Source organism: Homo sapiens, chromosome 3 (assembly GCF_000001405.40).
Source record: "Homo sapiens chromosome 3, GRCh38.p14 Primary Assembly".
In the NCBI taxonomy this organism is placed as follows: domain Eukaryota; kingdom Metazoa; phylum Chordata; class Mammalia; order Primates; family Hominidae; genus Homo; species Homo sapiens.
Genome location: NC_000003.12, coordinates 183973245 through 183993872, shown reverse-complemented (window position 1 = coordinate 183993872; position 20628 = coordinate 183973245). Strand labels below are relative to the sequence as shown.

The following is a 20628-nucleotide window of genomic DNA, read 5'->3' as shown; positions in this document are numbered from 1 at the left end:
TGTATGAGGCAAATTTCCATATTTCAAGATCCGTGTATTTTGGAAATAGTGGCAATGGTTGTATAGTATTGTGAATATAATTAATGCCTCTGAATTCTATACACTTAAAATGGCTAAAATGGCAAATTTTATGTTATATATATTTTGCCACATAGAAATAATCCATTTAACTGTGGCATTTAGTTGCTTCCACATAACTTTCCATTGAAAGTGATTAATCTGCAGTGGGGTGCATGCATGTAATGATATGATAAAGGTAAATGTCAAGAGAGGAATCTAATAGAATTCTATAATGTCTTCCATGAGATAAAAGGCTCAATTAAAAATGTGTATTCCTGGATTTAGCTCAGTATTTGGAAGTTCCTGTCTTTTTTTTTTTTTTTTTTTTTGAGACAGGGTCTTGCTCTGTCACCCAGGCTGGAGTGCAGTGGCACAATCTTAACTCATTGCAATCTCTGCCTCCCTGGTTCAAGAGATCCTCCTACCTCAGCCTCCTGAGTATCTGGGACTATAGGTGTGTGCCACCACGCCCTGCTAATTTTTGTATTTTTGGTAGAGATGGGGATTCACCATGTTGACCAGGCTGGTTTCAGACTCCTGACCTAAGGAGTCTGCCTGCCTTTGCCTCCCAAAGTGCTGGGCTTACAGGTGTGAGCCACTGCGCCCAGCCCGGCAGTACCTTCACGAAGACATTTGCAAAAGTGGAATTGTAGACTCTCATTGCAAATCAGCATTCATAGATGAAGATTTGCAATCAATTTTGATGAAAGGGAAAACTATTTTAAACCCCAGTTAAGTGAAATGTTATTCCCCCATAAAAGAATTTCATTCTTCTCATCAGTAGACCTGCATTACAAAAAATTGTACTCAATTATTATAATCTGAATTGTGTCAACATTTTGTGGAGATTTGTTTTCTCTTGTAATAGGAGTACCTACTTAATATCTTTGATTTTGCCTCTTAGCCCACAAAACTGAAAATATTTACCTCTGGCCTTTTACAGAAAATGTTTGTCAACCCCTAGCTTAAAGCATTGATTTTTCTCTTTTTCTTCTTTTATTTTTTTATTTTTTATTTTTTTTTTGAGACGGAGTCTCGCTCTTTCGCTCAGGCCGGAGTGCAGTGGCGCTATCTTGGCTCACTGCAAGCTCCGCCTCCCAGGTTCACACCGTTCTCCTGCTTCAGCCTCCCGAGTAGCTGGGACTATAGGTGCCTGCCATGGCGCCCAGCTAATTTTTTGTATTTTTTTTTAGTAGAGACGGGGTTTCACCGTGTTAGCCAGGATGGTCTCGATCTCCTGACCTCGTGATCCGCCCACCTTGGCCTCCCAAAGTGCTAGGATTACAGGCGTATATGCTTTGAAAGCGATGAAAATCTCACCTTATTCTCTGTTTTAGCTGCATCCCAGAGATGTTGATGTATTGCAGTTTCATACTGTTTAGCACAGAATATGTTCTGGTTTCCATTTAATGCCTTCTTTTTATTTATTAATTTAAAGAGATAGAGTCTTGTTCTGTTGCCCAGTCTGGAGTGTAGTGGTGAGATCAAAGTTCACTGCAGCCTCAAACTCCTGAGCTCAAGCAATCCTCCCACCTCAGCCTCCTGAGTAGTTGAGATTATATAGGTACAAATTGTCATGCCCGTTTGATGTTTTCTTTCACTTACATTACTTAGAAGTATATTGCATAATTTCTGAACATTCAGATATTTTAAAAATCTTTGTTACTGAACTCTAATTAAATCCTAAAGTGGTCAGAGTGCATGTATACATGATGTCAGTCTTGAGATTTGTTGAGGTTTGCTTTATAGCCCAATGTATAGTCCATTTTGGCAATGTATTTGAAGTGACATTTTTCAGATCTTTTGTCATCTTCTGAAGCTTTGGATATCCAAATAAGGCTGGTCCCTGTAACATTCTGTACCTACTCTGTACAGATTCCCAGTTTCTACTCACTTAAAGTAGGTGTGCTTGTATTTTTAGTGTATCTTTCTCTCTCAATCCAGGAGGTTTTTTCCTTCCCCTTGTGATTATATGCAGCTCATAGGTAAGAAAAACCTTTGTAATGTACTTAAATCTCAGCAGTCCTCAGCTCATTATCAAGTGCCGTAGTCCCTAACCACTAAATTAAGTGTTGACCTTATACATAAGGACTTCATTTAAGAGCGAGTTCGTTCTTGTTGTTGACTCCTGTCATGTTGTACCATTATTCTCTTGAAACTGGTCTGACTTGCCTTTGACAAAAGGAAAGGAGTGTGCTTTGCAGGGCTATGTGCTTTCCTAATACCAGAAGTTATCTAAAGATACTTAACTGTGCTGTGAACTAAAGCTATTGTGTTTGATCTGCCCAGGCATCCAGCTGACTCCTGTATACAAAATTCTACCCGTTCAGTTCTGTTAATGTTTAAGTTCCCGCTGTTCTTTGGTGGGAAAGGAGGTGATGTATAAAAATCAACTGCTTTGTATAAGGCTTGGTGTGTTAGGTGCTAAACCACTTAACTTTTTCTTGATTTGGGGATCTATTCTCCTTGTTTTTTTGTTTGTTTGTTTGTTTTTTGTTTTTTTTTTCCTTCTTTTAGAGACAGAGTCTTGCTCTGTCACCCAGGCTGGAGTGCAGTGGTACGATCATAGCTCATTGCAGCCTCCAACTCCTGGGCTGAAGTCATCCTCCTGCCTCCATCTCCCAAGTAGCTGGTACTGCAGGCACGCATCACCATGCCTGGCTGATTTTTTTTTTTTACTTTTTGTAGAGATGGTGTGTTGCTGTGTTGCCCAGGGTGGTCTTGAACTCCTGAGCTCAACCGATCCTTCCAAAGTGTCAGGATTACAGGCGCGAGCCACCATGCCCAGCTGAGATCTGTTTTTTACTGTTTCACAATAATTGCTGGAAATATTTGTAATAATGTGACTTTCACTGCTAAGACAGAAAAGGAAGATAAGGAAATTGAGGAAAATGAAGCTTCTGCTTCTACAACAGGAAAGCATAAACGTTTGAGTTACTTTTAGAGTAAACGGGGGATAAGTGTGTCTAGATTCTTGACCCACCCTCTTCTGCCACAGTCAGACTTAGAATGCACTTTTGCATGCACTTTTGTTAATCTAATGAACGAACATTTATACACTTTCTAGTTAGTAAATACGTGTAACTTTATATTTCAGCTCATGAGATCCTTTGCTGCGTGCTGCAGGGAAGTGTAGAGCTCTTCAGCTGTGCAGCCAGGATAAGAACTCACGTTCTGTTCTCCCTGCTGCTGCTGTGACAGGGGAGGCACGTGTACATCCAGGCTCTTTCTGTGTGGCAGGGCTGTTTAATTGGGGCTGATGGAAATTTTTGTCATAGGAAATGGGCAATCAGATTTTCAGTTAGTAGTGAAATAATTGACTCTCAATCCATATTGGGAAACAGAAGATAAAACATTTGGTAATAAAAATGTAAATTTTAGAACATAGAACACAAAGAGTGGTCCATAAGCTGGGCGCGGCAGCTCACACCTATAATCCCAACACTTTGGGAGGCTGAGGTGGGCGGATCACGAGGTCAAGAGATCAAGACCATCCTGGCCAACATGGTGAAACCCCGTGTCTACTAAAAATACAAAAATTAGCTGGGCATGGTGGTGCACGCCTGTAACCCCCCTACTCGGAGGCTGAGACATGAGAATTGCTTGAACCGGGGAGGCTGAGATTGCAGTGATCCAAGATCATGCCACTGCACTCCGGCCTGGGCAACAGAGCGAGACTCCATCTCAAAAATAAAATAAAATAAAAACAGGGCCGGGCGCGGTGGCTCATGCCTGTAATCCCAGCACTTTGGGAGGCCAAGGCAGGTGGATCATGAGGTCAGGAGTTCGAAACCAGCCTGACCAACATGGTGAAACCCCACCTCTACTAAAAATACAAAAATTAGCCAGGCATGGTGGCACATCCCTGTAATCCCAGCTACTCAGGAGGCTGAGGCAGGAGAATTGCTTGAACCCGGGAGGTGGAGGTTGCAATGAGCCGAGATTGCGCCACTGCACTCCAGCCTGGGTGACAGAGGGAGACTCTATCTCAAAAAAACCCAAAAAAACAAAGAGCGGACCCTAATGTAACCTATGGACTTCAGTTAATAATGAATCTGTATTGGCTCATCAATTGTAACAAAGGTACCACACTAATGGAAGATGTTAATAATAGGAAAAACAGATGAGGAGGACGGGAGAGGTACAGAGGTATATGGGAGCATTCTGTACTATCTGATTAGTTTTTCTGTAAAACCTAAAGATGCTAAAAAAAAAAAAAAGAAAACTGTTTAAAATTTTTAAATATCTAGCTTAATGTTCCCCAATGGGTTCAAATCATACAAAGTTAGTGTTTAACCTCCTGACCCTTGCTTGGAATTTCTCAGTTAAGATGAGTCCAGTTTGCAGTTTGAGCTGTTTCATCAGTTCCGTTTGCCTCTCGCCTGTGTATTAACTGTGCTCTTGCCTTTCTCCCTATCTGCTGGAACAGTTGGAATGCCAAGATGCCTTGGAAACAGCAGCCCGAGCCGAGGGCCTCTCTCTTGATGCCTCCATGCATTCTCAGCTCAGAATCCTGGATGAGGAGCATCCCAAGGGAAAGTACCATCATGGCTTGAGTGCTCTGAAGCCCATCCGGACTACTTCCAAGTAAGATGCCGTGCTGAGTGATGACAGTGAAGCATCAAAGGCCTTTTTTTTTTTTTTTTTTTTTTTTTGAGATGGAGTCTTGCTCTGTCGCCAGTGGCATGATCTCGGCTCACTGCAACCTCCGCCTCCTGGGTTCAAGTGATTCTCCTGCCTCTCAGCCTCCTGAGTAGCTGGGACTACAGGCGTGCACCACCACCAAGCCCAGCTAATTTTTTTGTATTTTTAGTAGAGACGGGGTTACACCATATTGGCCAGGATAGTCTCAATCTCCTGACCTCATGATCTGCCCGCCTCGGCCTCCCAAAGTGCTGGGATTACAGGTGTGAGCCACCGCGCCCGGCCCATCAAAGCCGTTTTAGAACATTCAGGCTAAGATTAGATCATCTGGGGAGACTGGTCTTTAGCTAAGAGCTGTGTTCACTAAACAGTGTCCATTAAACACGGGCTGCCCTCTCCGTGCGTGTTGATAGCTTTGTGATTTCGGTTTTCTCTCCTTAGACACCAGCACCCAGTGGACAATGCTGGGCTTTTTTCCTGTATGACTTTTTCGTGGCTTTCTTCTCTGGCCCGTGTGGCCCACAAGAAGGGGGAGCTCTCAATGGAAGACGTGTGGTCTCTGTCCAAGCACGAGTCTTCTGACGTGAACTGCAGAAGGTAGGCGCCTCTGGTCCACCCTCATCTCCCCCATGCCGGGTGGGCAGGGCCTGAGCTAGGAGTGTGAAGTCCACAGCTCTGTGTCTTTAAAGAGCCGAGCTGTCCAGTGGAGGGCGGGCGGCCTGGGGATGACTTTCTCTTTGCTCTTTTGCTTTATCTCCTATTTCACCTTTGATCCTGTTTTAACCACGGGCTTTCTCTCTCTCTCTCAGCCCCGCTTCTCTTCCTGAGTCTGCAGGGAGATTATGTTGCTGCCTTGTGACAGAATACATTTTTGTGGTAGCTGATTGTCATGATTAAAATGTAGTTTACAACTTTACATTTTACCACAGGAACCTTCAGAAAGGGTTGGGGGCCCCTGAAAAAGAAAGTTCTTATTCACAAATTGCATTCAGGGATCATTTTCCTGGGTGGAAAGAAAGGCTTTTGCTCTCATCATTTTCTGTATCCTGGGAGGCTCCTTATACAGGGTAAATGTGTAGTTCCCTAGGAAGGGTATTTTTTCCCAGAAGGTGAAGACTATGTACATAATTTTAAAGGAGAGACTTGTGTGAGTGGTGGCAAAACCTGGAGACAAAAAGTGGTGGCAGGCGGGGAGCTAGGTGTGCCTTTCCCCCGAGGAGATGTGTAACGAGGACGTGTGCCCTTGTTAAGACTAGAGAGACTGTGGCAAGAAGAGCTGAATGAAGTTGGGCCAGACGCTGCTTCCCTGCGAAGGGTTGTGTGGATCTTCTGCCGCACCAGGCTCATCCTGTCCATCGTGTGCCTGATGATCACGCAGCTGGCTGGCTTCAGTGGACCAGTAAGTTCTAACCATCCTTTCCGACAGTCTCCAGGGGCCCGGCCACGGCCAGCTCTAACACTCTTATTCTGTTGCAGAGGTTGTGCTCAGCTTTGGGCTAGGTAGCAGTCTTAGAGATGCCTTCAGGTCTGTTGAAAGGGGTCGATGGATTTTGGCAACAGCTGGAAGGATGAAAGGGCAGTGTTGCCAGAGAAGAAATGGAACTGGCTTGATTTCTGGGTGGGGGTGAAATGGAACTGACTCCAGTTCTGCACAGGACTGTGCTTCTCGGTTGTGTGTTAACATGAACTGACAGTCGGTGCAGGCAGATGTGTCTTGCAGTGCTATGAGTGGGTGAGAGCACGTTGTGTGGCCCGGGCTGGTGAGCCAGCACCGGGAACATACCAAGTGCCTGGAGGCAGTTATCACATGTTTGGCAGGTCTGTGGCAAATAAGCCCTGAGAAAACTAGAGGACTGTCGAGGATTTTAGAGTCTGACCTGGAGTCCGTTTAAGTTTGGCTTATAGTGTGACTGTGTGGCAAGTGTTGGGGTGGCAGCCGTGGTTTTCCCCAGTCTGTACTGATGCAGAGTAGACAAGAGAGCCTTTGACGTTCACTCTGTTTCCTGGGCACCTGTTTCTTACACCTGCTGTGCTGCCTTACACTTGAGACCTTGATTAAATCTATTCTCTACACATTTGCCTTGAGGCATCGGAGCAGTAGTACTGCTTGTACTGTGCGTTTTCCATATGTGGGTAAGCTGGAGGTTCATGGTTTTGGTAAGTATGTGCCTAAGATGCATGGCAATTAGGTAAAACTAATTTGCAGTTTTGTTTTTGTTTTTATTTTTTTAACGTTTGATGCCTCTTGTTAAAGTTTTGATCTCTTTTCTGAAGCAGAGAACACTACTTTTCTGGTATTGGGTTTCTATATTATTAATAATTGACCAACTAACATACTTTATATAAAAGTTTTAAGTAAGAAGGACCATGTAACTGAAATGTTGTGTTATGTAATTTACCAAAATGGCAAACATTTTCATAGAGCCAGCTTCCCCCAAGAAGAGCTTCTGTCATTGTTTCACTACAGGGCTGGTGGCTGCTCTGATCTCATAGAATTCATTCCTCTGGGTAGCACCATATGCAGGCTTTGCGAATAAAGTGATCATGGGCTTTCTTGATTCCATTTGGCCAATGCAAGAACTTCATTGGCTCCCCTCTAAAAAAAATTCCATGGATTGCTGGGATTTTTATTTTTTATTTTTTGAAAAAAATGGTACCTATCCGTATTCAGCTTGGTGGCTTCACAGTCCCTCCCCTGAACATCCGTATATTCCTTATTCTCTCATTTATGGTGCAGAACACTGGGGTACTAACCTCTAGGAAACTGTTCTAGCTGCCAGGGAAAGCTAAGAGCCCTCCTTTAACAGGAAAGCAGCAGCATGCTTTTTCTTCTCTCTGCCGTTTCAGGGAAGAGCACCTTAAGGCCAGTGTTATTTCATGGGATTCTGCCCTAGAGCTGAGAAAGTAATGGACTCATCCATAATCTCTTTTATAGATTTGAAAGTGTAAACAATACACACTTCCTTTTTTGGAACTCCAATTCTAATATGTTTCTTTTTCATTGGAAATTGAAAAACCAGGCTGGTTTTGAGATTAGTACTAGCAGTGAGTAAACCTCCTGTCTGTGGACTTAAATCCTTTTGAGGAACATTTCGTTTTAGATTTTTACAAGTTTTCTAATCTGGCACGACTTTCAAACTAGCTTAATCTGTTCTTACAGAAACCTGTGTAAGGACAGACTGCCCACATACGGGCTCCCCAAATAAAATGGCATTTTTATTTCTTGTCCCTGCTCGGGTTTCACCGAACCTTGGTAGCCATAATCAGAACAAATGAAACACAGTCAAGTTGTTGTGTTCTGTTTGTTTTTACCTGCCAGCCAGCTGATGCTGACATTTATACACCAAGATGATCCAAGGTTTTGGTGACGCCGGTGGGGACTGCCGCTATATGTGCAGGGTGCCCGGGGGTCATAGTAATGTTAATGGAGTACCAGAATCTCTAACAGTGTGGTCCTGTGTAGCCACATTGCTACACTTACAGAGATGCTTTGGGGCCTTTTTGGATTAAGACAGTTCTAAAAGACCAGGCCTCACCTATGATCTGTGTATAAAGAATTAGCATCGCACTGTAGATCTGCAAGAGAAGGCCGCCTCCTGCAGTGCTCTCTCTTGGTGAATGCTAACTCTGCTCGAGGGCCTTTTGGGGAAAGGACAGTGTAAAACCCTTAGAGAGGTAAGTTTCCCACCCTTCCAACCTCTCTCCACCTGCAGCTTGCTTGGTGCTGTCAGGATCTGGATTTGGGGGGAGTCTCTCTGTAGTGGAACCAGTGACAGAAGCTGTTCTTTAGAATTTTCAGGATGGCTGTATTCTGCGGTCAGAATGAGAGAGTCAAGCTGGGCAGAATCTCTCGCCAAGAGTTCAGGTAAGGTAATGTTTATTCACTGGGAATGCTTTCCACAGCCAGACAGCTATGCTAACAGTCTCAAGTTTTCTTCCAGTTTGTTTAGATTTAAATGATACATTTGTAACTTTTTAAAAACTAAATTTTGGTTGGATTTTTCATGAAAACCTCTTTTTTCTTTATCCCCTAAAAAATGGTTTGAAATGTCATTGTTATTTAAAAACCCGATGTGTTGGAACTTCTTTAATCTGCTGTTTCCTCTTTTTCCCCCCCTTTGAAAGTTTCGCATAGTGTAAACATTCACTATGTCTTTTACCTTCCCTGCTCCTCCCATCTGGGAGGCGCTGATGCTATTACCCAGTGCTGAAAAATGGCACTCTAAAGGTATGGGAAGGAAGGAGCCCAAGGCAACCACCTGCTGTCCTTTCAGCCTTCCTTTGGAGACTGCTCCATCAGTGCCGAGGTGTGTGGGAACAGGCTTCACTGCACCGCCATCTTACTGAGTTGCTTCACGTGAGGAAAAGGGGGCTTTGGCCCTGTGACTCAGTTCCACATTTTGGATTGCATACTGGAAAAGAAGCCAATCTTCTTGCTAGTAAACCAGCAACCCGGCTGTATACAGTGGTGACCCAAGCAATGGATATAAACCTAAAAATCTGAGGGAGGGGAGAGGTGGAATACAGTAGTTCTTGGAATCTGAAGTCTCCTATTTGATCAGGTTATTTCCTGGGACTTGGCAAAAATCTGATTGGTGGGGATCTCCTAGGACCTAGTGGACATCTGGTATTAATTTAATCTCAGGAAAAACAAGAAATTAACCCAGAGAGAGTCTGGGTTTTGGAATTCAGCGTAGCTACCTCCAGACCGTGGTGTCTGGCCTCCATTTTTGTCTGTCATTCAGCTCTGACTTACAGCTGCAGTCACCTTTGCTATAAGGCACCTGGGTAGAAGGGTGGATGGGCTTCACATCAATTTTTTTCTTCCTTTAGGGTGGGGGATTGGTTTGGCTTTCTTTTGTTGTGGTTTTTTGTTTTATTTTTGTCAAGATTGATTTTTAGATGCAAGGACTTGAAAAGACCCAGAAGGATGCCACCAGTTTTTCCTTGAGGCCTAGGATTTTTTATTCTGTCCCGAGCAGAGGTAATTCCTCACAACTTAGTGCACCAGTAGCACCAGCCATTTTGAGCAGAGTACCTCTTTGGGGAGCTTTTCGTTTTGTTTTGTTTTTAATTCTCTTTCCTTAGCAGCAAGGTCTTTTTTCCTAGAGAATCTACTCCGTTGCAGAATCATTGCAACCTCAGGAGCCCTCACTGATTGAGTGCTGTCAGCCTGATATACTACTTTGGACTCTGGAAACAGATATGGGTTCTATTCTCTATTTCTACTGTGTGTCGTTAAACAACCGTCGGAGACCAGATGACCTGTTAGATGGCTAGTCCTGTATAACTCGACTCTGTATGTTTCAATGTATGTTACTGCAATGCTTCACCTGCTGTACAGTGTTTGTGAGATGCTCTTTGAAGATGGTACTTTTATATTTTTTCATTTTCAATAAAAGTACATTCCTTCCCACTTCCTGGTATTTAATACTGTTGCTGAATGTGCCTTGTGTGAGTGTGTGCTCCGGCGTTGCAGGACCTCAGCTGGAGGTGGCACTCGGTGGTTCTTGGGGGCTGGCCGCCTTCCCTCTGCAGGTGGTGTTAGACATATGCTACCTGAGGTAACATGTTTTCATTTTTGGGAGGGAGTCGGGAGTGGGGCGGGCCCATGGGAGGGTCTCTGGATTTTTGATAGCCTGCTTTGTTTGCTCTCTTCTGTACTATTAAACTGCTGATGTTTATTTTCAGGAATGTTTTGCAAATGCACTTCTCACTCTTCCCCAGTACAACTGTAGGTACACTGTTCCTTTTTATCAAATAAGCACGTTTGAAACGATCCAAAAAAAAGGTCTTAATTTCATGTAAACAAATGTATCCATGTGTGGAGATACTGGAATAAGGTCAAAGCTATACTTTTGAATGACCATGTGTTTAGAGTTAATTTCAGCTCATTGATAGGTTTATGTTACATTAGAAAGAGTAATGGTTTTGATGATGTCCTGTAAGGAAGAAAGTTTGCAATTAGACCTAGCTCCTGCAGAATGCCCTGAGTAAGTTACTGCAGGCAGCTTGTAATAATTGGGTCTTCCAAAGTTTTGCTTTGCTTGCGCACTGGTCCCTGAGTGGAGCTGCCTACTCTTTCTAACTTAACATAAAACTATGGCATTGTGTGTGAGTGCCGTGGAGATGTTGACAGTGGTGTGTGTCTCTCCCTGTAGGCCTTCATGGTGAAACACCTCTTGGAGTATACCCAGGCAACAGAGTCTAACCTGCAGTACAGCTTGTTGTTAGTGCTGGGCCTCCTCCTGACGGAAATCGTGCGGTCTTGGTCGCTTGCACTGACTTGGGCATTGAATTACCGAACCGGTGTCCGCTTGCGGGGGGCCATCCTAACCATGGCATTTAAGAAGATCCTTAAGTTAAAGAACATTAAAGAGAAATCCCTGGGTGAGGTGAGTGAGGGGTGTTTGCTTCACAGCAGAGAGCAACTTCCTAGCTTGAGGTTCATTCCTCTAGGGCCCTGCCTTATCCTTTATCTTCCTCCTGAGACAAATGAACCGTGTCCTTGCAGGGTCCCCTCACTACTCTTTGTATCTTATAGCTCATCAACATTTGCTCCAACGATGGGCAGAGAATGTTTGAGGCAGCAGCCGTTGGCAGCCTGCTGGCTGGAGGACCCGTTGTTGCCATCTTAGGCATGATTTATAATGTAATTATTCTGGGACCAACAGGCTTCCTGGGATCAGCTGTTTTTATCCTCTTTTACCCAGCAATGGTGAGTAAGCCTCCCAGCTGAATCCTGGCAGCTTCTCCTTAGGAGATGAGTTACTTCCATTGGGTTATAGTAGGCATTGCTGAGGTCTCACAGCTCTGATTGGAAATTTCCTCAAAGCAGGTTCAATCTAGAGCTCGATAGTGCTTGCTCTATAGGGACAGAATTTTGACTTGAGAGGAGGTAAGGTGTCACTTGCATGAAAGAGAGTCTGAATGAGAAGGTCAGCTGGTGAACCCTGTCCCACTTGACATAGGAGTGTTTGAGTCACTGCGTTGGAGTTGGTGCTAAGTGATAGGGCCCTCCTGCCTCCCCTTTGGAAGCACTCAGTCTCTGTGGTCACTATTGAGAATAAATACTTTCTTGTCTTCATTGCCTTATAAAGAGATAAGAATTCAGTAATGTTTTATTACAATTCAATAGGTCACTTTTATTAAAGACAGTACGATTACATAACATTTGGCCCATCCTAGCAAGCAGGATTATATGCTCATTTTATTGAGAATGACCTTAAGCAGATTAGGTAGTTCTCAAGTTTGAATGAGCTTTAATTTGGCGTGGCATCGCTTTTCCTTTCAGATGTTTGCATCACGGCTCACAGCATATTTCAGGAGAAAATGCGTGGCCGCCACGGATGAACGTGTCCAGAAGATGAATGAAGTTCTTACTTACATTAAATTTATCAAAATGTATGCCTGGGTCAAAGCATTTTCTCAGAGTGTTCAAAGTGAGTTTAAAGATTTTGTATGTGCATGTGGTAGAAGGACCTTGGATTCTTTGGGTCTTATAATTCACACACTTTGCTTTCTGAGCACATTACGTACTAGGACTAGTGTCTAGTATCGTAGGACATAATATCATAGAATCTTTGTGTTCAAAAGGGATCTTAGAGGTTTGAACCCATAACCTCATCTCACTGATGAGGAAATTGAGACCTGGGAAAATGTTGATTTTTCCCAGTTAAAACACAGCTAGTTAGGAATAATCCAGTTTCGAAGCCCCCTGTGTATATTCTCATCCTGCCCATGATTTTCCAGCCTGGTCATGAGGCTTTCACAGAAGACAATATCAAATTACTACTGAGAGCATCACCTTTGCCCACTCTACTCTGTGGTTTCACGGGAAATAGTTTGTGGCCCTTGAGGTAAACTGGGAGTCAGGATGGCTGGATGCTGGTCCTAGCTCTGTCAAACGTGTAAGTGCCCACAAAGCTAGGAGAAATGGCACAGATGGGGCATTCAGAAAGATCTCAACACAAATTGAACCAGTGTGCCTTGAAACAGGTGAAATTTAAGTAGTAGATAATTAAAAACAAACACATAGATACTTAATTTAAATAAAAGAGATGAGGCTGTTGGTGGACCATAACCTCATCAGGAGCTGAGTCCAGTGCTGTGAAACAGTCAATGCATTATAGTTGGAGTAGAAATACAGTGTTCAGGCCAGGCGCCAGTGGCTCACGCCTGTAATCCCAGCAGTTTGGGAGGCTGAGTTACGTGGATCACCTGAGTTCAGGAGTTCAAGACCAGCCTGGCCAATATAGTGAAACCCCGTCTGTACTAAAAATACAAAAATAAGCTGGGTGTGGTGGTGCATGCCTGTAATCCCAGCTATTCGTGAGGCAGAGACAGGAGAATCGCTTGAACCCAAGAGGCGGAGGTTGCAGTGAGCTGAGATCACACCATTACACTCCAGCCTGGGTGTCGCAGCGAGACTGTCTCAAAAAAAAAAAAAAAAAACAAAACAGTGTTCAGAGCAAGGCAGCTGTTGTTTTCCTTTCATTGAGTAACCTTCAGGAACATGATGTCCAATTCTGGAATCTACATTTGATTTATGAGGGCTGTTAAGCTAAGAAGCATCCAGAGGAGATGAGCACTCAAGAGGTGCCCAGCAGTGGACGGGGCTGCCTTGTTAAGCAGTGAGTTTGTTTCTACTAGAGTGGAACAAATGGATTCTGAATGGACATCTGCCAGCAGGTTGATGGCAGGATGGCTGCCACTGGTCCCTTCTGGCTCTCTGATTCTGTAGTTTTATGATCTTTTTTCTGAAATTTCCCTCATCCATCAGCCCCTGACTGGTTATCTTTACCTGTATGTATTAATTTGAAAAGAGTGTTCTTACTCATTATAGACATGGCCAAGGTGTATAATACATGTTCAAGTAAGGAGTTCAGTGTTTTTATGTGACTTACAAGCTAGCTGTGAAGATAGTTCCCAATGCCTTAGGCAGTGGTAATACCTTTAAGGTCAGTGTATACCCTCTTAGAAGAATTAAGTATTTGCCAGGTACAGTGGTACATGCCTGTAATCCCAGCACTTTGGGAGGCCTAGGCGAGTAGATCACCTAAGGTCAGGAGTTCAAGAGCAGCCTGGCCAAAATGGCAAAACCCCGTCTCTACTAAAAATACAAAAATTAGCTAGGCGTGGTGGCACAGCCTGTAATCCTAGCTACTCAAGAGGCCGAGGCAGGAGGATCACTTGAACCCAGGAGGCAGAGGTTGCAGTGAGCTGAGATCACACCACTGCACTCCAGCCTCGGCAACAGAGTGAGACTCCCGTCTTAAAAAAAAAAAAAGTATTGGCCGGGCGAGGTGGCTCATGCCTTTAGTCTCCACGCTTTGGAAGGAGAGACAGGATCACTAGAGCCCAGGAGTTCAAGACCAGCCTGGACAACGTACTGAGACCTCCTCTCTACAAAAAATAAAACATAACTGGGCATGGTAGTGCACATCTGTGGTCCCAGCTACTTGGGAGGCTAAGATGGGAGGATCACTTGAGCCATGGAGGTTGAGGCTGCGGTGAGCCGTGATTGTGCCACTGCACTCCAGCCTGAGCAACAGAGCGAGACCTCGTCTGAAAAAAAAGTATCTTATTGTTCTGCTTCCTGCTCCACGGTCTTCAGTACACTATGGTTGCTTTGCTAATATGGGGGTTGATTTTGCAAATATTTAAGAAAAATCATTCTGCCTATAGAAATTGTATTTCACCTATCTTCTTCCGGTTGTCATTACTGCATTTTTATATGGAAGCTTCTATCCCACTGCCAACATACAGCAGGCACTCTGGGAAATGTTAGTTCCCTCCCCACTGCCCCTTTTTTTTTTTTTTTTGAGATAAGGCCTGGCTTTGTCACCCAGTCTGGAATACAGCGGTGCAATCTCGGTGCACTGCAACTTCCACCTCCCAGGTTCAGGCAATTCTCCGGCCTCAGCCTCCCAAGTAGCTGGGATCATAGGCGTGTACTACCACACCCGGCTAATTTTTGTATTTTTAGCAGGGACGGGGTTTTGCCGTGTTGGCCAGGCTGGTCTCGAACACCTGACCTCAGGTGATTCCCCCTGCTTTGGGCCTCCCAAAGTACTGGGATTATAGGCATGAGCCACCGCACCTGGCCTCTTAGTCCCTCCCTTTTTAATTCTCCAGTGCCATTGTGTTGTCTTTCCTATTAATTCCTTAGGCAAAAAGTCAACAACAACCAGGTAAGCAAACACAACTGCCAATTATAGATACAATTAATGTGTTCATTCCTTCTCAACCTAAGAAATTTACAAGAAGAATCAGAAAAAGGTATCATAGAAGATGATGATTGAGTTCATACATAGTGACTGCTTTCTGTTAGATTCATTCCTGTCACTTGATCCATTTCAAACCTCAGCCTTTTATACCAGCTTTAGTGGTAGAGTTGATAGTCATAGGTGTTGAAGGGTGGCTGGAGACCTACAGAGTCTTGTTTGGAGGTGGAGGAACAACATCCCTAGGCTTCTTTTAACTTGCTTTGAAATTGGCTTGCTTTTTATTCATAGAAATCCGCGAGGAGGAGCGTCGGATATTGGAAAAAGCTGGGTACTTCCAGAGCATCACTGTGGGTGTGGCTCCCATTGTGGTGGTGATTGCCAGCGTGGTGACCTTCTCTGTTCATATGACCCTGGGCTTCGATCTGACAGCAGCACAGGTCAGGGAACCCTCAGGGATGGGGAACATTTTAGAAATACCACATTTGCTGGAGGCTGAGGCAGGAAAATCACTTGAACCCAGGTGGTGGAGGTTACAGTGAGCCAAGATCATGCCATTGCACTCCAGCCTGGGGGACAGAGCAAGACTCCATCTCAAAACAAAACAAACAAACAAACAAAAAAAAAATACCACATATGGAGATGATGCTGTGGTCCTCTCCTTACTGGACCTGGAGGTTCCCCCAAGAATTAGTAGGTATTTTTTCATTCATGGGATTAAGCTGAGAAGCAGAAGAGTGGGGAGCCAGCCCTTATGCACAAATAGTGTATGAGTTGTTTTTAGTCAACATAAGTTTGAGTTTAATTCTGAAATTACAGATCATCCTGTGGTTCATATTTACTGACAATTTTAATTGAAGGTCTCAAAAACTCTACTTAAAAAAAAATGTGGCCAGGCATGGTGGCTCACGCCTGTAATCCCAGCACTTTGGGAGGCCGAGGCGGGCGGATCACTTGAGGTCAGAAGTTTGAGACCAGCCTGGCCAACATGGTGAAACCCTGTCTCTACTAAAAATACAAAAATTAGCTGGGCATAGTGGTGCATGCCTGTAATCCCAGCTACTCGGGAGGCTGAGGCAGGAGAATTGCTTGAACCTGGGAGGTGGAAGTTGCAGTGAGCCAAGATCGTGTCACTGCACTCCAGCCTGGGCGACAGAGCGAGACTCCGTCTCAAAAAAAAAAAAATGTAATTGACTTGTAATAACAGCTGACCGTGAAGTTGCAGCCTTCCTAGCGCCTGAGAGGAAATTCATGGTGTCAGGTTACTTCAGTTGCATAGCATCATTAGGCACAGTTTCTTCTCTTCTCCTATTTTCAGGCTTTCACAGTGGTGACAGTCTTCAATTCCATGACTTTTGCTTTGAAAGTAACACCGTTTTCAGTAAAGTCCCTCTCAGAAGCCTCAGTGGCTGTTGACAGATTTAAGGTAAGTGGCTCCTTCCCCTGCCCCCGTGTCAGGAGCCCTCCCCACACAACTAACTGCTGGCTCTGTTCAAGGGGCCACCCAGGCTGGCCTCACTGGGCTTAAGCTTGGCTTTGGCCTTTTGGCAAGTTGGTAAGAAAAAGGGGGCAGTGGAGGAGACTGAATTGAGGGATGAGACTTGTCACCTTTTTTAATTAATGTGAATTTTTACCTTTTGTGAACGGCCATGATCTGGGCTCCCAGGATTGCAGAGTTCCCCTTTAGAGCTAGCCCCTTCCACCTGGGCCTGACATGGATGTGTCGCAACTCACTGGGCCTTGAAGTGGCTTAAACCTAGAAGACCAGCACTGTGGGGCATCTTCCCCTTGATCTTTGCTACTGTCACTTTGATTGATTGACATGCTGAATCCTTTTTGATACTTTCTTTTTCCTGCCCTGTGGTGCTACTCACGATGCAGGGAAAGCAGTTACATGGAAATAGTCATAAAACTAGGTCATGTTGAGAAGTGCAGTTAAGTAAGTCTCAGCTTCTTTTCTTGCAGGTGGTTAGTTGATCATACCTTGGCTGTGTTCTTTGTTCCTTCAGAATACTACACATACATGATACAAAAGGGAGTATATTTGGGAGGGTGGAGAGAAATAGATATTTGATAGTGGTTAATACTTAACAAAAAAAGGGATGCCATGTGGGCTGGAATTCCTTGATGTTGCCACTGCATAGATTAGCTCCTATGTCCCTGCTTGTCTTTATTGGCCAGTGAGAGGAATAAGAAAGCAATTTTGGTGATGTGAAGGCTTGAAGCTCACATGTTTGAGGGATGAATATAATCATCTTGGAGGTTCAGGAGAAAACAAATTGGATTTTCTTCTTAAGAAACATGGAAACTCAGTTCCCGAGATTTGTTTGTATTCTACTTGTTTACAGTTGACCGGGTGACTTTTATTTGGTCAAGAAAGCTAGTCCTGGCTGGGTGTGGTGGCTCACACCTGTAATCCCAGCTCTTTGGGAGGCTGAGGCAGGTGGCTCACTTGAGCCCAGGAGTTCAAGACCAGCCTGGGCAACACAGCAAGACCCCGTCTCTACAAAAAAATAAAAAAATAGCCAGGTGCAGTGGTGTGCGCCCACAGTCCTAGCTACCCGGGGGGCTGAGGTGGGAAGATTGCTTGAGCCCAGGAGGTCGAGCCTGCAGTGAGTTATGATCATGGCACTGCACTCCAGCCTGGGCAACAGAATGAGACTCTTATCTGTGTTTTTGTTTTTTTTTGTTGTTGTTTGTTTGTTTCTTACAAAAAGAGAAGAAAGAAAAAGGAAGGGAGGGAGGGAAGAGAGAGAAGGAAGGAAGGAGAGAAGAGAGAAAGGAAGAAAGCTAGTCTTCGAATGTGCCCCTCCCCCACCCCAACGTGGCCACTTCTTAGAAAACCAAGAGCTGAGTCATATGAAAAAAAATGGCCTAATGGGACTCAGAGCTTTATTTTGCTGAATCCGCAATAACCAGTCGTGGATGAAAGCAAATGTTTGACCATAAGTTCTCCCTGCTGTTCATTTCTATATTCTTGTTAGTGAATGGATTTGGTAGCACTTTGGATAAAGTAAGGGCATGTAGTGTAGGTTGGTCCTCCCCTTGTTTTTCGAGGGCTCTCATCTCCTGCTTATTAGTGAGGACTTGGATTAGCAGGTGGCTTTCACATCATAGGTCCCTCCTCTCTCCAGGAAGCCTCAGAATTAATAGTAGAAGCAGCACCACCCACAGCTCTATTTGATGCCCCATGAGACTTTAGACCCCTTCTATCTTACTTCTCTTGGTGGTCTCAGTCTCTTTTTTTCCTTGTTATTCTTTTTTTAATTAGATGCTTGGCACAAGATAACAAGTATTTATGGCCAGCCTTGGTGGCTCACGCCTGTAATCCCAACACTTTGGGAGGCTGAGGTGGTTGGATCACTTGAGGTCAGGAGTTCAAGACCAGCCTGGCCAACATGGTAAAACCCTGTCTCTACTAAAAATCCAAAAAATTAGCCAGGTGTGGTGGTGTGTGCCTGTAGTCCCAGCTACTCGGGAGGCTGAGGCAGGAGAATCGCTTGAACCTGGGAGGTAGGGGTTGCCATGAGTCGAGATCGCGCCACTGCACTCCAGCCTGGGCAACACAGCGAGACTCTGTCTCAGAAAAAAAAAGATAACGAGTGTTTATTACTTAATTCCTCCCGAACTCTAAGCCGGTTCTTTCTTCTTATCTTCAGATGTCTATTAATTAGAATTACATTGACTTTATGAGGGTTGGGGGGCTGTTTTTTAGGTGTAAGGCAACTGTTTATTATGTTTCTGAGTACGTTAAAGGAAGTTTGCCTCAATCTTGGGGGACCATCTAAGGCAGCCTTTTGAAAACAACAGAACTGTTCCTGGGATTGTATCTCCCCAAAAGCATCTGCCCTCTCATCATTTTTAGAAGATGGAATATAGAATAACAAGGATGAGACTTGCTTCTTTGATTCATTTTACAGACCTTGAAACTCACTGACGATGTTGCAGAGCCCTGCTTTTCACCCTGTGTCTTGTTTTACATCATTTTCTTTCTTTCTTTTTTAAATTGGAGTTGGAGATCTGACAGATTTGCAAGTATAGTCTTTTCTCTATTTCACCTACCCTGCAAGTGCATATGGCAGGAGAACTTGTTGCTTCCTGTTGGGTAGTATGCATAAAGAATAGGAAAAGAGATATAAAATTTATTTATGTAACCTGTAATTTATTGATTTGATAACCTGTAGAAAGGCAGTGTGAAGCTGCACTGATTGTCACCAGTGGAATAGGGTGGCTTGCTCTAGCAAATACAGACACAGGACACCCAGTGAAATACTGCATGGAATATACTTATACTGAAAAATTATTATTGTTTTTCTGGAATTAAATTTAACGGGGGCCCGGCATGGTGGCTCACGCCTGTAATCCTAAGCACTTTGGGAGGCTGAGCAGGTGGATCTCTTGAGGCCAGGAGTTCGAGACCAGCCTGGCCAACATTATGAAACCCCGTCTCTACTAAAAATACAAAAATTAGCTGGGTGTGGTGGTGGGCACCTGTAATCCCAGCTACTCAGGAGGGCTGACACAGGAGAATGGCATGAACCTGGGAGGCAGAGGTTGCAGTGAGCTGAGATTGCGCCACTGCATTCCAGCCTGGGTGACAGAGTGAGATCCTGTCTCAAAAAATAAATAAATACATTAATTAATTAATTTAACTGGGCATCTTATATTTATCTGGCAACCCTGTGAGTAGTCCCCTCTTCTGTTCTCAACAGATTCATTCTGATTTGATTCTTCTAGTGAATGAATAGTGTTTTCATGGTCAGTGTCCTGTGATAAAGTTGAGGCTTATGGTTTATAGGTTTATATGGTTATAGGTTTATGTTATATCTAAGATTCTGTTGTTCTGACAGGTGCAAATTCAAGTAGATACAAGTTCAAGTATGGGGAGGCCCTTCTCTGCCTCTTAGCACGTCAGGGCAGAGTGATCTGAAGCCGAAACTCTCCTGGTAGAAGGGAGGGTAAGGCTGCGGGGAGTAGGAAGGAAACATGGGGCTGGAGCTGTGAAAACCAGTAGGTACTGGCATGTTTCTTAATAGTTCATTGAGGCCTAAAAGACCTTCATCCTTTGAATAACTCTTTAAGGGAGAGAAATGATGGAAATTCTGTCGGCATGTGGTTTTACTCTGTGAAGGTGATCAAAATGTTTGGCATGTTACTCTTAGTTCAATCTCTCAGGAAGGCTTTGAACAAATGAAAGCAGCAGCCATTTCAGCAAGCGGGGGCCACACCTAAGGTTACTCGAGAGTGAAGATTATCTCAGAAGTTTAGAATCATGACACTTCGGGGAAGATAGGATCAGGGATGAATGGGAGACGGGGGCTTAAGGGAGAGCTTAGAAGTTTAGAATCTAAGAGAGAAAGGGTTTGTTTTTGGGGAGAGGGATTATGTATGATATTTAATAGCACCTGCAAACTTTAAGATAGCTGGGGGGTTCTCAGTAACTAAGGAGGGTCCTGACCCTAAAAGCTATCTTTTCTCTAAAGATTTTGTAATGTTTAAAATTTTTTTAAATTAAGATAAATATATTTTAAATCATACTGTGAATCCAACTGGTATAGCATTCTGTAGAGAAGATCACTGGCTTAAGAGGATTGTTAGAAGGTGGCTCACACCTGTAATCCCAGCACTTTGGGAGGCTGAGGCGGGTGGATCACGAGGTCAGGAGATCTAGACATCCTGGCTAATATAGTGAAACCCT

The 20628-nt window shown here is 44.1% G+C and overlaps 1 protein-coding gene across 11 annotated transcripts in view, besides 1 other annotated feature; it reads left to right on the top strand.

Annotated features, from left to right (window-relative positions):
- Positions 1-20628, top strand: part of ABCC5 (ATP binding cassette subfamily C member 5) — a 97951-nt gene that overhangs the window by 24012 nt on the left and 53311 nt on the right. For 6 of the 11 annotated variants that reach the window (NM_005688.4, NM_001320032.2, XM_005247059.6 and 3 more), the window contains 8 exons: positions 4490-4647; positions 5146-5301; positions 5956-6103; positions 10866-11099; positions 11249-11422; positions 11999-12146; positions 15222-15370; positions 16249-16356. In NM_005688.4, coding sequence (NP_005679.2) covers positions 4490-4647; positions 5146-5301; positions 5956-6103; positions 10866-11099; positions 11249-11422; positions 11999-12146; positions 15222-15370; positions 16249-16356 — 1275 coding nt within the window. Of the gene's footprint in view, positions 1-4489; positions 4648-5145; positions 5302-5955; positions 6104-8417; positions 10121-10865; positions 11100-11248; positions 11423-11998; positions 12147-15221; positions 15371-16248; positions 16357-20628 lie in introns of those variants that run through there. The other 5 variants (XM_017005493.2, XM_047447100.1, XM_047447099.1 and 2 more) reach the window with 3 other exon arrangements.
- Positions 3300-3800: an enhancer, noted in NCBI's record as "H3K27ac hESC enhancer chr3:183707861-183708361 (GRCh37/hg19 assembly coordinates)". NCBI's record gives its function as "activates a minimal SCP1, AML or CMV promoter by ChIP-STARR-seq in primed H9 embryonic stem cells {active_cell/tissue: H9 hESC(primed)}" and the evidence as "EXISTENCE:reporter gene assay evidence [ECO:0000049][PMID:30033119]".